At 42.9% G+C, this 15,165-nt stretch overlaps 1 pseudogene; it reads right to left on the bottom strand.

Annotated features, from left to right (window-relative positions):
- Positions 10,681-14,704, bottom strand: PPP1R26P4 (protein phosphatase 1 regulatory subunit 26 pseudogene 4; annotated as a pseudogene).

The following is a 15,165-nucleotide window of genomic DNA, read 5'->3' as shown; positions in this document are numbered from 1 at the left end:
ATATAACATATTTTGAAAGCATTAACTAGTAATTTGAAAAGATCGCATTTGACAGGCCAGTATGAACATACCTTGAATGCAGCCACACAGGTTCCCCATAAGAAAAATCAAAATCAGGGAAAATGAAACCACAATGGTTCAATCTGCTCTGACCTTTGAAAAACTCAGCACAGATAGTGGCACTTAGGACCAAGGGCAGCAGATCCCTAATCCCATCACCATGGCGATAGGGCATAAACATTCCAGGGTGAAGGCACAATCCACACTGTGAGGTCCAACTGCTGCCATGCAGACAGGTGTGCTTTCAGATGTACAGGAAGGTCATCGAAGGCTCAGTGTTTCGTTTCAAAAACTGAATCCCAAGTCCACACATTATTATGCTGTGCTTCTTAAAATAAGTTATGAGATAGGAAATAGGGCACCCCCAAATATATATATATATTATATATAATATAATATATATAATATATAACATATATATAATTTCCTTTTACATCCTGCATCCCTTATATATAATATTATATTTAATATAATACACAATATTATATTTAATATAATATATAATATTTTATTTAATATAATATACAATATTATATTTAATATAATATATAATATTTTATTTAATATAATATATAATATTATATTTAATATAATATATAATATTATATTTAATACAATATATAATATATTTAATATAATATATAATATTCTGTATAATATATATTATACATAATATTATATATAACATAATATATAATATTATGTATAATATATATTATTATACAGATATTATATATAATATAATATATATAATTATATATGAAATATAATAATGTATAATTATATATGTAATATAATAAAGTATAATATATAATATACATTATATATTATATAAAATATTGTATAATGTAATATGTAATATATAGCATATCATAATATAATATATTTTATAATATAATATATTATATATTATATATGATTATATTATATTATATTATATTATATATTATATAATATATGATATATTATGGTATATTATATATAATATAATATATAATATAATTATATATAATATACCATAATATATATGATATAGAATATATAATATATATCATAAATTATATAGAATATATAATATATAGCATAAATTATATAGAATATATAATATATATCATAAATTATATATAATATATAATATATATCATAAATTTTATATATAATATATAATATAATATAATATAATTATATATAATATAATATATAATATATCAGATATCAGATATAATATATAATATATATCAGATAAAAGATATAATATATAATATATAATATATATCAGATATAATATATAATATATATCATATATTTTACATAATATATATCATTTATTATGTAATATATATCTTTTATTATAGATAATATTTTTCATTTATTATATAATATATGATATATCATATATGATATATATCATCTATATCATATATGATATATATCTTCTATATCATGTATGATTTATCATCTATATCATATATGATTTATCATCTATATCAGGTATGATATATCATCTATATCATATATACGATATATCATCTATATCATATATACGATATATCATCTATATCATATATACGATATACCGTATATATCATATATATGATATACCATGATATATATATGATATACCATGGTATATATATGATATACCATGATATATCATATATATCATATATAGTATATAATCTATATCATTTATATTGTATGTAATCTATATCATATATATTGTGTATAATCTATATCATATATTGTATATAATCTAGCATATATATTGTATCTAATGTATCATATATATTGTATATAATCTGTATCATATATATTGTTTATAATCTGTATCATATATATTGTATATAATCTGTATCATATATATTGTATATAATCTCTATCATATATATTGGATATAATCTCTATCATATATATTGTATATAATCTATATCATATAGTATATAATATATATCATATATTGTATATAATATATGTCATACATATTGTATATAATATACATCATACTTATTGTATATAATATATATCATACATATTGTGTATAATATATATCATACATATTGTGTATAATATATATCATACATACTGTGTATAATATATATCATACATACTGTGTATAATATATATCATACATATTGTGTATAATATATATCATACATATTGTGTATAATATATATCATACATATTATATATGATATATATCGTATATATTATATACGATATATATCATATGTAATATATACGATATATATCATATATATTATATATGATATATATCGTATATTAAGTTAAGTTTGGGGATAGCCCAGAATTATATATGGATTTTCAACTGCACAGGAGCTGGTCCCCTAACCCTTGCACTGTTCAAGGATCAACAGTATGTATAATACTATAGATTTTATTCATATTTTAGAGTGTAGTACTGCTACTCATTAAAAAAAATTAACTATAAAACAGCTTCAGGAAGGTCTTCCACGAGTTCTTCCAGAAGAAAGCCTTGTTATCATAGAGAATGACAGCTGCATGTATGTTATTGCCACTGAAGACCCTGAAGACCTTTCACTTGGACAAGATTTCGAGATGGAAGACAGTGATATTGATTATCCTGACCCTTACAGGGCTAAGCTAGTGTGTGTGTTTGTATCTTAGTTTTTAACAAAAATGTTTAAAACATAAAAAATCAAAATAAATGAAGCTTATCAAATAAGGATATAAAGTATTTCTGTACAGCTGTTCAATGTGTTTTTGTTTTAAGATGTGTTATTATCAAAGAATCAAAAAATTAAAAAAATTAAAAGTTTATAAAGTTATGATAAGCTAAGATGAACTTGTTAAAGAAAGAAAAAATTTAAATACATTTAGTGTAGCCTAAGTGTACAGTGCATATAAAGTCTATAGTTATGTACAGTAATATCCTAGGCCTTCGCATTCACTCACCAAGTACTCCCTGACTCATCAGAGCATCTGCCAGTCCTGCAACCTCTGTTCATGCTAAATGTCCTTTACTGGTGTACCACTCTCTTTAAATTTTGTAATATATATATATATATTTTTCTTTGTTTTTTTTGAGAAGGAGTTTTATTTTGTTGCCCAGGCTGGAGTTCAATGATACGATCTTGGCTCACTGCAACCTCTGCCTCCGGGGTTCAAGTGATTCTCCTGCCTCAGCCTCACGAGTAGCAGGGATTACAGCCCCACGCCAGCACACCCAGCTAATTTTGTATTTTTAGTACAGACGGAGTTTCTCCATGTTGGTCAGGCTGGTCTCGAACTTCTAACCTCAGGTGATCCGCCCCCCTCGGTCTCCCAATGTACTGTGTTTTTACTGTATCTTTTCCATGTTTAGATATTACTACTGTGATATAACTGCCTACAGCAGTGGGCCCCAAAGTTTTGACACCAGGGACTGGTTTTGTGAAAGATAATTTTTCCACGGAGTGGGGATGGCTTTGGGCTGAAACTCTTCCACCTCAGATCATCAGGCATTAGTTAGATTCTTTTTTTTCTTTTTTTTTTCTTTTTTAGACTGAGTCTCCCACTGTTGCCAGGCTGGAGTGCAGTGGCACAATCTCGGCTCACTGCAACCTCTGCCTCCCGGGTTCAAGTGATTCTCCTGTCTCAGTCCCCCGAGTAGCTGGGACTACAGGCATGCGCCACCACACCCAGCTAATTTTTGTATTTTTAGTAGAGACGGGGTTTCCATGTTGGCCAGGATTGTCTTGACCTTGTGATCCACCTGCCTCGACCTCCCAGAGTGTTGGGATTACAGGCGTGAGCCACAGCACCCAGCCTAGTTAGATTCTCATAAGGAGAACATAACCTAGATCCCTTGTATGGGCAGTTCACAATAGGGTTTGTGCTCCTGTGAAGGTCTAATGCTGCTGCTGATCTGACAGGAGGCGGAGCTCAGGCAGTAATGCTCGGCTGGCCAGCCACTCATCTCCTGCTTTGTGCCCAGTTCCTAACAGGACACGAACCGGTGCTGGTCCATGGCTTGGGTGTTGGGGACCATTGGCCTACTGTATTCAGCACAGTGACATGCTGCACAGGTGTGTAGCCCAGGAGCAATAGGCTGTACGATATAGCCTAGGTATGTAGTAGGCTACGCTGTCTAGGTTTGTATAAAGTACACTCTTTGGTGTCTGCACAGCCACAAAATCACCTAATGATGCATTTCTTGGAATATATTACCATTAAATGAGATTTACCTGTATTAGTGTCATCTCAGGTTTATTGTCTAGTAATTTTAAAAGTATTTGTATATTCTTTCCCAGACACATCATCATACTCTGGTGCATATCTCTATTTTATTCCCTAGACCCACTCTTAATTTTTCTGCATTCTGCTTTGTTCCTTAGGAGGCTCACCTGAATTGGATACTTCAGAGATCTCCCTTACCCTCATGCTTTTATTGGGGTTCAGCTAATGGAGGGGGTGGCAGAAGATAGGTGAGAGAAGAGTGTGTGTATCCCCCACCTCTGCCCCTGCAGGGTCAGCACAGGCAGACTGTGTCCCTTTGCTGAAGATCACAGCTTCTGTCTGGTGCCTTCTTGGCAAGCTGGCACTGTCTCTAGTCAGGTGACTGCTTGGCCCCTTACTACTTACACTCTTCTGTCTGGTTTCTTTGTGACTTTCCTGCTGTGCTGTAAGTAGTCCCTTTATTAGAATCCATCCACATTACCCAGTTATATAAAGACAAATAGTTGGTCACTGATCTAGTTCACTCCCTGAGAATCAGCCTTCATCAAAGATCCCTAACAGTCACATATTCTGTTGGCCGCTCCATTCCTGCTCCCCATTATTCTAGTTGTGTCTTCCTTGTCTCTAGTGCAGTCACAAAGCATAAGCGCCTCCACTGTCACTTGTTCTTTGCAACTCTAGGATCACATCATTCCCCTTGAAATCAGAGAATCTGCAATCTCCCCAAGCCCACAAAATTCAGCCGTCACAGTACTTTTCAAGCATGCCAGCAGCCCTCCCCAACAAACGAATCCTTAATTTCTTACAGAAACATCTTCTGGGCTTCCTGTGGGACACAGTGCGGGTCGGCTTGGCATGTGGATCACACCTGATATTTTTACCCCCACCTCCTACTATTCCTATTCCTTTGTATGCACCTCTCTTTATTATGCTAGGAAAGCTCTGGCAACACAACCTCAAAATAAGCAGGCCAGTGTGGATTCACAGTTTCTGTCAGACAAACAAACTTGAGCACCACTTCTAACTTCTTGGGCTAAGACTTGTGGGAACAATCATGGGCGATAAGCACTCTGTCCTCCAAGTGTTAGCATCTGCGTTCTGGTTGTTGATTGCTACTTTTGATTATGGAAGGGCAAACACAGAGGCCGGCAGCCATTATTGCTCACAACTCCCCACTCCACTGCTGCAAGCCCTTACCAGACTGAAGCAACTTCTAGGAGATAGAAAAGGCCAGAACCCCATTTCCCTTCCCCTTCGTTGTTCTCTTTTCCTTTTTTGGGAGCCAAACATTAAAGACTAGGACACTCAAAAGCAATGGCATACACAGAGGAAATTAAAGTTACCACACATCCTTGGAGAGAGGAGTGTGTGCCCAGGGAAAGGAGCAGCTTCAGACCTGAGAAGACCTCAAGCTTACAACTCAGGTTGATCCTCAGCATGGAGACAACCTACAACAATGTAAAACATAACAAAACCCCAAAACAGCAAACCCTGAGGAAGAGGAGAGTCTCATCTCCAGAGTTACTGCATTATTATATTCAAGTGTCCAGTTTTCTTTTTTTTTTTTTTTTTTATTATACTCTAAGTTTTAGGGTACATGTGCACATTGTGCAGGTTAGTTACATATGTATACATGTGCCATGCTGGTGCGCTGCACCCACTAATGTGTCATCTAGCATTAGGTATATCTCCCAATGCTATCCCTCCCCCCTCCCCCGACCCCACCACAGTCCCCAGAGTGTGATATTCCCCTTCCTGTGTCCATGTGATCTCATTGTTCAATTCCCACCTATGAGTGAGAATATGCGGTGTTTGGTTTTTTGTTCTTGCGATAGTTTACTGAGAATGATGGTTTCCAATTTCATCCATGTCCCTACAAAGGATATGAACTCATCATTTTTTATGACTGCATAGTATTCCATGGTGTATATGTGCCACATTTTCTTAATCCAGTCTATCATTGTTGGACATTTGGGTTGGTTCCAAGTCTTTGCTATTGTGAATAGTGCCGCAATAAACATACGTGTGCATGTGTCTTTATAGCAGCATGATTTAAGTGTCCAGTTTTCAATACAAAACACAAGGCATACAAAAAACAAGAAAATATGGTATTTCAAAGGAAAAACAACAACAGAAACTGTTCCAGAGAAAGACCAGATGGTAACCTACTACACAAATACTTTAAAACAACTTTCTTAAAGATGGTCAAAGAACTGAAGGAAGATGTGGAGAAAGTCAGTAAAATTATGTGTAAACAAAATGGGAATATCAATAAAGAGATAGAAAACCTAAAAAGAAAAAAAATAAATAAATTCTGGAACTAAAAGTGTAGTGATTGAAATAAAAGTTCACCAGAGGGATTCAAAAGCAGATTTGAGCAACAGAAGAAAGATTCAGTGAATTTGAAGATGGGACACTTGAAATGATCAAGTCAGAGGAACAGAAATAAGGACGATTGTTGAATAGCAAGCAGACATTGTGGAAGTCCCAAAAGAAGAGAGGGAAAGGGGCAGAGAGATCATTTGAAGAAATAATGGCTGAGGCTGAACACGGTGACTCACACCTGTAATCCCAGCACTTTGGGAGGCCAAGGTGGGTGGATCACAAGGTTAGGAGTTCGAGACCAGCCTGGCCAATATGGTGAAACCCCGTCTCTACTAAAAACACAAAATTAGCCAGGTGTGGTGGTGCATGCCTGTAATCCCAGCTACTTGGGAGGATGAGGCAAGAGAATCGCTTGAACCCAGGAGGCAGATGTTGCAGTGAGCCGAGATTGTGCCATTGCCCTCCAGCCTGGGCAACAAGAGTGAAACTCCGTTTAAAAAAAAAAAAATTAGCTGGGCGTGGTGGCACGTACCTGTAGTCCCAGCTACTCAGGAGGCTGAGGCAGAAGAATCGCTTGAATCCAGGAGGCAGAGGTTGCAGTGAGCCAAGATCACACCACTGTACTCTAGCCTGGGCAACAGAGCGAGACTCTGTCTCAAAAAAGAAAAAAAAAAAGCTGAACACTTCCCAAATTTGATGAAAGACATGAAAATAAATATCCAGAAAACTCAATGGACTCCAAGTAGGATGAAAAAAAAAAGACTCATACTGAGACATTATAATTAGCCAGTAGGGCCTCTTGAAAGCACCAAGAGAGAAGCAACTAGTCACATGCTAGGAATATATAATAGGATTATAAGTAGATTTCTCATCAGACACTTTGGAGAACAGAAGACAATGGGATGACATATGTAAAGGGCTAAAAGAAAAACAACCACTACCTCTCAACCAAGAATCCTATATCCAGCAAAACTGTCCTTCAAAAGTGAGGAAGAAATTGGGAAATCCCCAAATAAACCAAAGTTGAGAAGTTTGCTACCATTAGACCTGCCCTGCAAGAAATCTTAAAGAGAATCATGCAGGTTGAAAAGAAAGAACACTAGATAGTAACTCAAAGCCATATGAAGAAATAAAGATGCCAGTAAAAGTAAATATATGGGAAAATATTAAATCTAGTATTATCGTAACTTTGGTTTAAAACTCCATGTTTTGCTTTCTACATAATTTAATAGACAAATGCATTAAAAACAATTATTAGTTTATGTTTATGGACACACAATGTACAAAAATGTAATTTTGTGACATTGATAACTGAAAGAGGAGTGGCAAAACTGTGAGGAGAGTTTTTGCATATTATTGAAATATAGCTGGTATGAATTCAAGTTAGAGTGCTATAACTTTAGAATGTTAAGTGTAATCCCTATGGTAACCACAAATAAAACATTATATAACATAAAAAAGTAAATGAGAAGGGAATTAAAACACTTCGCTACAAAAAATCAACTAAATACAAATGAGATCATGCAGGAAATGGACAAAAATGCTGTAAGGCATATAGAAAATGTATAGCAAAATGCCAGAAGTAAGTCCCCCCTTATCAGTAATTACTTTATTACTTTTTAAACCATTTTGTTGAGGAATGATTTACATAAAAACTGTACATATTTAACGTACACATCTTGATAAATTTACACCATAAAACCATTATCATCAAGCCTATAAACATATCCATCACCTTTTAAAATTTCCTTCTGCCTCTTTATTATTATTATTGTATAAAAAAATGTTTTTAATGGCCAGGTGCGGTGGCTCACGCCTGTAATCCCAGCACTTTGGGAGGCTGAGGCAGGCGGATCACCTGAGATCAGGAGTTGGAGAGCAGCCTGGCTAAGATGGCAAAACCCCATCTCTACTATAAATACAAAAATTAGCTGGGCGTGGTGGCGGGTACCTATAATCTGAGCAAAGTACTGGGAGGCTGAGGTGGGAGAATCTCTTGAACCTGGGAGGCGGAGGTTGCAGTGAGCCGAGACAGCACCATTGCACTCCAGCCTTAGCAACAAGAGTGAAAATCTGTCTAAAAAAAAATAATAATAATAAAAGTTTTTAATTAAACAATTTAAGAATATAGTAACATTTTCTGTGGGTACTATGCTGTATAGCTCTCCAGAACTTACTTATCTTGCATAACTGAAATTTGTACACTTTAACCATCAACTTCCCATTTCCTTCTCTTCCCCAGCTCCCAGCAACCACCATTCTGTTCTCTTCTTCTGAGTTTGACGTCTTTAGGTTCCACACATAAGTGAGATTGTACAATATTTCACTTTCTGTGTCTGGCTTATTTTACTTAACATAATGCCCTCCAGTCCATCTATGCATAGAAATGCAACTGATTTTTGGATGTTGACTCTGTATCTTGCTACTTTATTGAATTTATTACTTCTAACAGTCTTTTAGTGAAGTCTTTACAGTTTTCTATACATAAAAATATGTCATCTATGGAGACCATTTTACTTCCATCCTTATTTCTTTACTTGCTTAATTGTTCTGGCTAGGACTTCCAGTCCTATTTTGAGGAGAAATGGTGAGAGTAGGAATTCTTGTCTTGTTCTTCATCTTCGAGGAAAAAACGTTCAGTCTTTCACTGTTGAGTATGTTACATGTGGTCTTCATTATGTTGAGGTACATTCCTTCTGCACCTAATTTGCTCAGTTTGTTGTTTTTTTTAATCATGAAAGGATGTTGAATTTTATCAAGTGCTTTTTAATAATAAAAATAAAGGATTTTTATCGTTTATTGTGTTGATGTGGTGTATCACATTTAGTGACTCTTGTATGTTAAAGCATCCTTGCATGCCAGAGATAAATCCCACTTGATCCTGGTGAATAATTCTTTTTTTGTTTTTTATTTATTTATTATTTATTTATTTTTTTGAGATGGAGTCTCGCTCTGTCATCCAGGCCTGAGTGCAGTGGCGCGATCTCGGCTCACTACAAGCTCCGCCTCCCAAGTTCACGCCATTCTCCTGCCTCAGCCTCCCTAGTAGCTGGGACCACAGGCACCCGCCAGCATGCTCAGCTAATTTTTTTTTTTTTTGGATTTTTGGTAGAGACTGGATTCATGGTGAATAATTCTTTTAATGCACTGTTGAATTTGGTTTACTAGTATTTCATTGAGGATTTTTGCATCTATGTTAACCAGGGATATTGACCTATAGTTTTCTTATTTTGTAGTGTTCTTATCTGGCATTGATATCAGGATAATGCTGGCCTCTTAGAATGAGTTTCAACGTGTTCCCTTTTCTTCAATCTTTTTGGAAGAGTTTGAGAAGGATTGTTATTAATTCTTTAAATGTTTGTTGAAATTGACCAGTAAAACCATTTGGTCCTGGGATTTTCTTTGTTGGGAGATTTTTCATTACTGGTTTAATCTCTACTTATTTTTTCTGTTTTTTTTTTTTTTAATTATACTTTAAGTTCTGGGGTAGCCGTGCAGAAAGTGCAGGTTTATTACTTAGGTATACATGTGCCATGGTGGTTTGCTGCACCCATCAACCCATCATTTACATTAGGTACTTCTCCTAATACTATCTCTCCCCTTGCCCCCATCCCCCAACAGGCCTCAGTGTGTGATATTCCCTGCCCTGTGTCCAAGTGTTCTCATTGTTCAACTCCCACTTATGAGTGAGAACATGCGGAGTTTGGTTTTCCGTTCCTGTAGTTTTCAGATGTGCTCTGGCCTCCAAGGACCATGAAGCCAGGCGGTGGTGGGGGGGTGTCCTCTGTATAAAAAGTGCTGTCCCAGGAACTTCCTGACGGACACTTTGGGGCATGTGAGCGATTCCTGGGGAGGGCACCTCGGCCTTCCTAAGGCTACCCCTGCAGCCAGCGCTGGCCATTCTCACCAGCAACCAACCAAAAAACATCAGAGTCCCTGTAAACCTGGTTGTGATGATAAAAACCAAATGTTTTCTAATCTAAGACTTGTATGCAGAACACAGAAAACTGCAGTTAAGGAACACCCTACAAAATTGACCAACAGTATTTTCCAAAAACATTTTTCATCACTTTAAATAATGTACAAAATCTACAAAAATCATATTTACCAGGACACATCTGTTAAATAAAAGCATTGTTTCGTGTTGGTATACATATATACAAGACTATGTATAACAGACTGTTTCCCCTCCCTGCAACCACAGAACCATCACACACAGGCACAGATACACGTCGGCTATGCCGCTTTCCACGAATGCATGGAACCCAGGACGCGAACCCACAGCTCGAGGTCTTATACCTTCACTACTGAGCTGCCGCCACTGCAGCAGCAACACCTCTGCGGAGGTGTTGCTGAAGTCACTGGTGTCCCTGCCCAAGGTGTCCTGGTCCTGGTCAACTCTACTGATTGACCCTTCGTGGATACCTCAGGTCTAAAATCCTTTCCTCCGAGCCAGAGCTCTTCCTGTTGTGCAAACTCAGCCCCGTCTGTACCTTCCTGCTTGGCCGGTGACCGCAGTCCTTCTTCGCCAGCAAGTGTGGGCTTCCAAAGACAGGGCTGGGCCTGGCCTGGGACTCCCTGAAGGCCGAGAAGGACAGGCCCTGCAGAGGCAGCCCCAGGTAGGGGCTGAAGAGGCCGGTCTCCCTGCCCCCCCAGGAGACACCCTTTCCAAAGTGGAAGAGCTGGGTGGACAGCAGCGGGGAGAAGCCCGCAAGGGGCAGGCTGGGCAGGCCCCGGGCGGGGCCCTCGGACCCCTTGTCTCTCTCTCCCAATGCCGCCCCCTCCACGCCGCATCTCTACCTTTGGAGCGCAGTGCCCATGGGCTGGGCAGCCGACTGTGGTGGGCAAAGTCACTCCAGGGCGGGGCGCGGTTGGCCTGGGCTCCAGCATCCCTCTCAGCTCCCGGGCTGGGGGTCAGGAAGCTCCGGTTCCTGCAGTCCACGTGAAAGGTCCCCCTGGCTCCTCCTGCCTCGGTGCCCGCTGTGGCACAGCTGGGCCGCTGACCAAAAGCACTTTTGGCAGCAGGCTCAGCCCCTCGTGGGCTCTGGTCTTTGTAAACGTAAACATTTCTCTTGCTCACTGAGAGACCTTGGCGGAGACACTGCCGCTGGTCCTCCTGGGTGGCGCATGATCCCCTCCGCCGGATCAGTGGGGAGCCCCTTCCCACCCTGGCTGAGCAGGCACGCTGCGCCCTGTGCTCCTGCGCTCCCTACGCCTCGATGCCCTTCAGCCAAATGTGCACATGCCAGGCAGTGGGGCCGGCTCCTTCCTGCAAGGTACCTCTGGCCTGGCTGGGCCCCCTGTCCCGAGAGCGGTGGGGCCCTCTGCCTGAACTTCTGAACTGCTCACCGACTCCTTGGCCTTTTCCACCAAAAACTTCCTAATCTCCAGTTCGATGCTATCGTCGCTGTCCACTGAACTGCTGTTGTCAGACAAGGAGCCAGGGCTGGGAGCTGGGCCCTGGGACTCTCTGGGGAATAGATTCTCTTCGGAGGCGGAGGCAGAAGCGGGTCTCCTCACCAGGAAGGCCGGGGCTTCGTCCTCTCGGCCCTGCTGCCAAAGACACTGGGGGGTTTCTTCCTGGAGCCCTCGCAGCTGTCTCTCTTGGACTTAGGCAGCTCTTCAGCACCTGCAGGTGCCTGTTTTTCCACTCTCTCAGGAGCCTGCCCAGCCGCTCCTGGAAGTGCGTCTGGGAGGTGCTGAACCTGACCTTCTTCCTGCACACAGCCCTGGGCTCCCTGGACCTCTTCTTGAGCTTTCACTTGGACCTTAACAAGTCCTTGATGGCTGTGTCCAGGTCCTTGTCACTGTCCAGGGAACTGCTTTTGTCTTCGGAGCTCTTCTTCTTGTCTAGGTGCCTTGCCTCGTCTGTCTTACCCTGGCCCTGTGACGTGCGAGTGTCACCGGGCACCCTAGCGGCGCCCTCTCCTCCCGGGGCCTCGCTGGCTGTGCCCTGGATGGAAAGGTCCCACCCTAGCGGCGCCCTCCCATCCCGGGGCCTCGCTGGCTGTGCCCTGGATGGAAAGGTCCCGCCCCTCATGGCCGGGCCCGGCTCTCCCCTGGCTGCGGTCGGCATCCTGGCCACCCTCTTTCCCCACCACCCGCATGTTCTTGGGAGTGGATGGCCTCACTTGGCAGCCGCCTCTATGCTTCCTTTTGCAGCCAGGAGTGGGTCCAGTGTTTTAGAGAGAGGGGCCTTGGGGCTGCCGGTCTGGCTGCTGAGGCCAGGTGGTGAAAGTGGGCCCTGGGCAGCCTGAGGGCAGCTCTCACCTCTGGCCAGCAAACTTCTAGACTGCACCTTGAGGGCCAAAAACGTCCAGATTTCCTGCTCAATGCTGTCGTCGCTGTCCACGGAGCTACTGTCACCATCAGAGCGGGAAGGCACGTTGGGGGAGTAGAAGAGTGGGCTTGCGGACAGGGACCCATCGCTGCCCTCCATAGGGCCGGCAGGATCGTCTTGAAAATGTCCAGGACTGCTTCTACACACATCAGCTCAGCGGAGGTGTCTGCCTGGCAAGAGGACCATTCCACAAACTTGCTCCTGGAAGCCGGGCTCGTTGGAGGTGGAGCTTTGGTTTCCTTTGGGATCTTGGGGGAATGGTCAGCGTCCAGATCCCCTGGACCAGGGTCCGTGGTCTTGGTGGGCACTGGCTTCTTCTTGCTGGGTGTTTTCCTGTGGGTCTCTGGCAAGGCACTTTTTGTGGCGCTGCTTGTGCTGTGTGCGGGAGGGGCAGGTGCTCTTTCCTCTTGGAGCTGGACCCTCTGGGGCGGGTCCCCGTCGGCCTCCTTGTGTGTTTTCTGCACCTGGTACAGCTGGATGGCCTCCTCAATGCCGTCGTCGCTGCTGGAGTCGGACGCCTCGGGAGCCTGTACGGCGCTCGTGACTCGCTTTCCCCTCCTTGCGGTGCTGGCGCTCCTTTTAATCCCACTTTTATTCTGTACTGCTTCTGAAGGGCGGTGGGGGTTGCTGGCTTTGTGCTGCCCTCCTTCTCCTGCGTGGTCGTGGTCGTGACCTTGGACCTGAGGCTTCTGGGCTGCACGTTTGTCTTTGCTAACCGGGGGAGGTCTGCAGAAGGCGAACTCCTTCTGGACGCCCATCAGGCCCTGCCGGTGCACCACCTTTGTAGCCGGCTCTTGGTGGGATTTCGAGAGTGACTTCGCCGAATTTTCATGTGTGTCTGGTTTCTTCTCCACTGACCCATCACATTTTTGGGTCTCATGCTGTCTTTTCTCATTCAGAAACTGTTCTATTTCTGCCCTGATGCTCTGCTCAAAGGAGTCTGCTCTGCTCATGCTGACTGGGGAGGCAGAGCCCTGGTCCTTGCTGGATCCCACCTGGCTGCCAGGGCCACACCACCTGAGCCAGGTACAAGTTTTGGGGAACACAGGGCAGTTGGGCACTGCTGTGAGCCAGTTCCCGCTTACATCTACTGCCTCCGCCCGCAGCCCTGGAAGGCTGTGCATGGCTGGGCCCCGCTGGCCCCGGGCTGTGCCGCTCCACTCTTTACCTTCAGGTACTCCTGGATGGCCTCCTCAATGTCCCGGTCCACGGAATCGTCACTGTCTGAATCTAGCACCAATGGGCCAAAGTCTGCAGTTTCCTCCTCCCCCACGGGGTCAAAGTCAGCAACAAGACCACAGGCAGCCAACGCAGGCAGCTCCTTGTGCATGGTGGGCTTGGCAGCAGGCCTGGCGTCGTGGCATCCCTCTGCCCCCTCTGCGCAGTGCGCTCATCGCTGGTGCCCCTAGCAGCCCTGTCGCTCTGCAGCGTGCTGATGAGCATCTGCACCCGGGTGCTCACCGACATGCTCTCCACGCCCTTGTCAGCCTCCGAGAAGCACCCGGGGAACCTAAAGCTCCCTGGCGGGACAGAGGCCTCCCATTTGGGCTGGAGAGCAACCACTGGAGGAGCATTCATGAGAAACATTCTGGCAGATGGGGAGCGACGCGCAGAGGGGCGACACTTTATTTCTCTGCAGGCTTCACATCCTCCAAAGATTGGCAAGCAGTACCCGTGAAATAACTTTAAACCTGCAAATGCTTCTTTGCAGGTTTAAAAGGATGACTATAAACTATGACGTCATGCCTAGATTCATTCTTGACCCAACCAACAAGCTCTTGACATTCTCTGAGTCCAGGTTGACTGTGATGAAAGGCAGCTAGTGTTCCCAAATGGCCCAGGGATCAGGTCTTCATCGCTCCACTCAGAGGGAAGCATCCTCTCTCTGCTTTTTAAATAGACTTTTGACTGGGGCTCCAGCAGCGCGGGGCGCGCAGACCTGGAGTTGCATGGAGGCCAGAGCCACGACACCCGCCTGGGGAACGGAGCAGCCCCAGGCGCTGATCCCCGTCCACCTGCCCCACGGAGCCCTCGCCGCCCGCTTGCCACTGCCTGCATGGCCCTCCTGTCCCCGGCCCCCCAGCCCTCCTTTCCCCAGCTCCCCCACCCTCCTGTCCCCGGCACCCCAGCTTCCCAGCCCCCGAAACCGCCCCCCCACCTCGACCCGGCCCATGCCGCAAGTCGCCCGCTGGGCGGACCCGGCCTCCGCCCGCCTCCTGCGTCCTGGGGGAGGCGGCTGCCGG

This window comes from Homo sapiens, chromosome 22, assembly GCF_000001405.40.
Source record: "Homo sapiens chromosome 22, GRCh38.p14 Primary Assembly".
Taxonomy (NCBI): domain Eukaryota; kingdom Metazoa; phylum Chordata; class Mammalia; order Primates; family Hominidae; genus Homo; species Homo sapiens.
The sequence above is the reverse complement of the archived record's forward strand: the minus strand, read 5'-3'. Positions and strand labels throughout refer to the sequence as shown.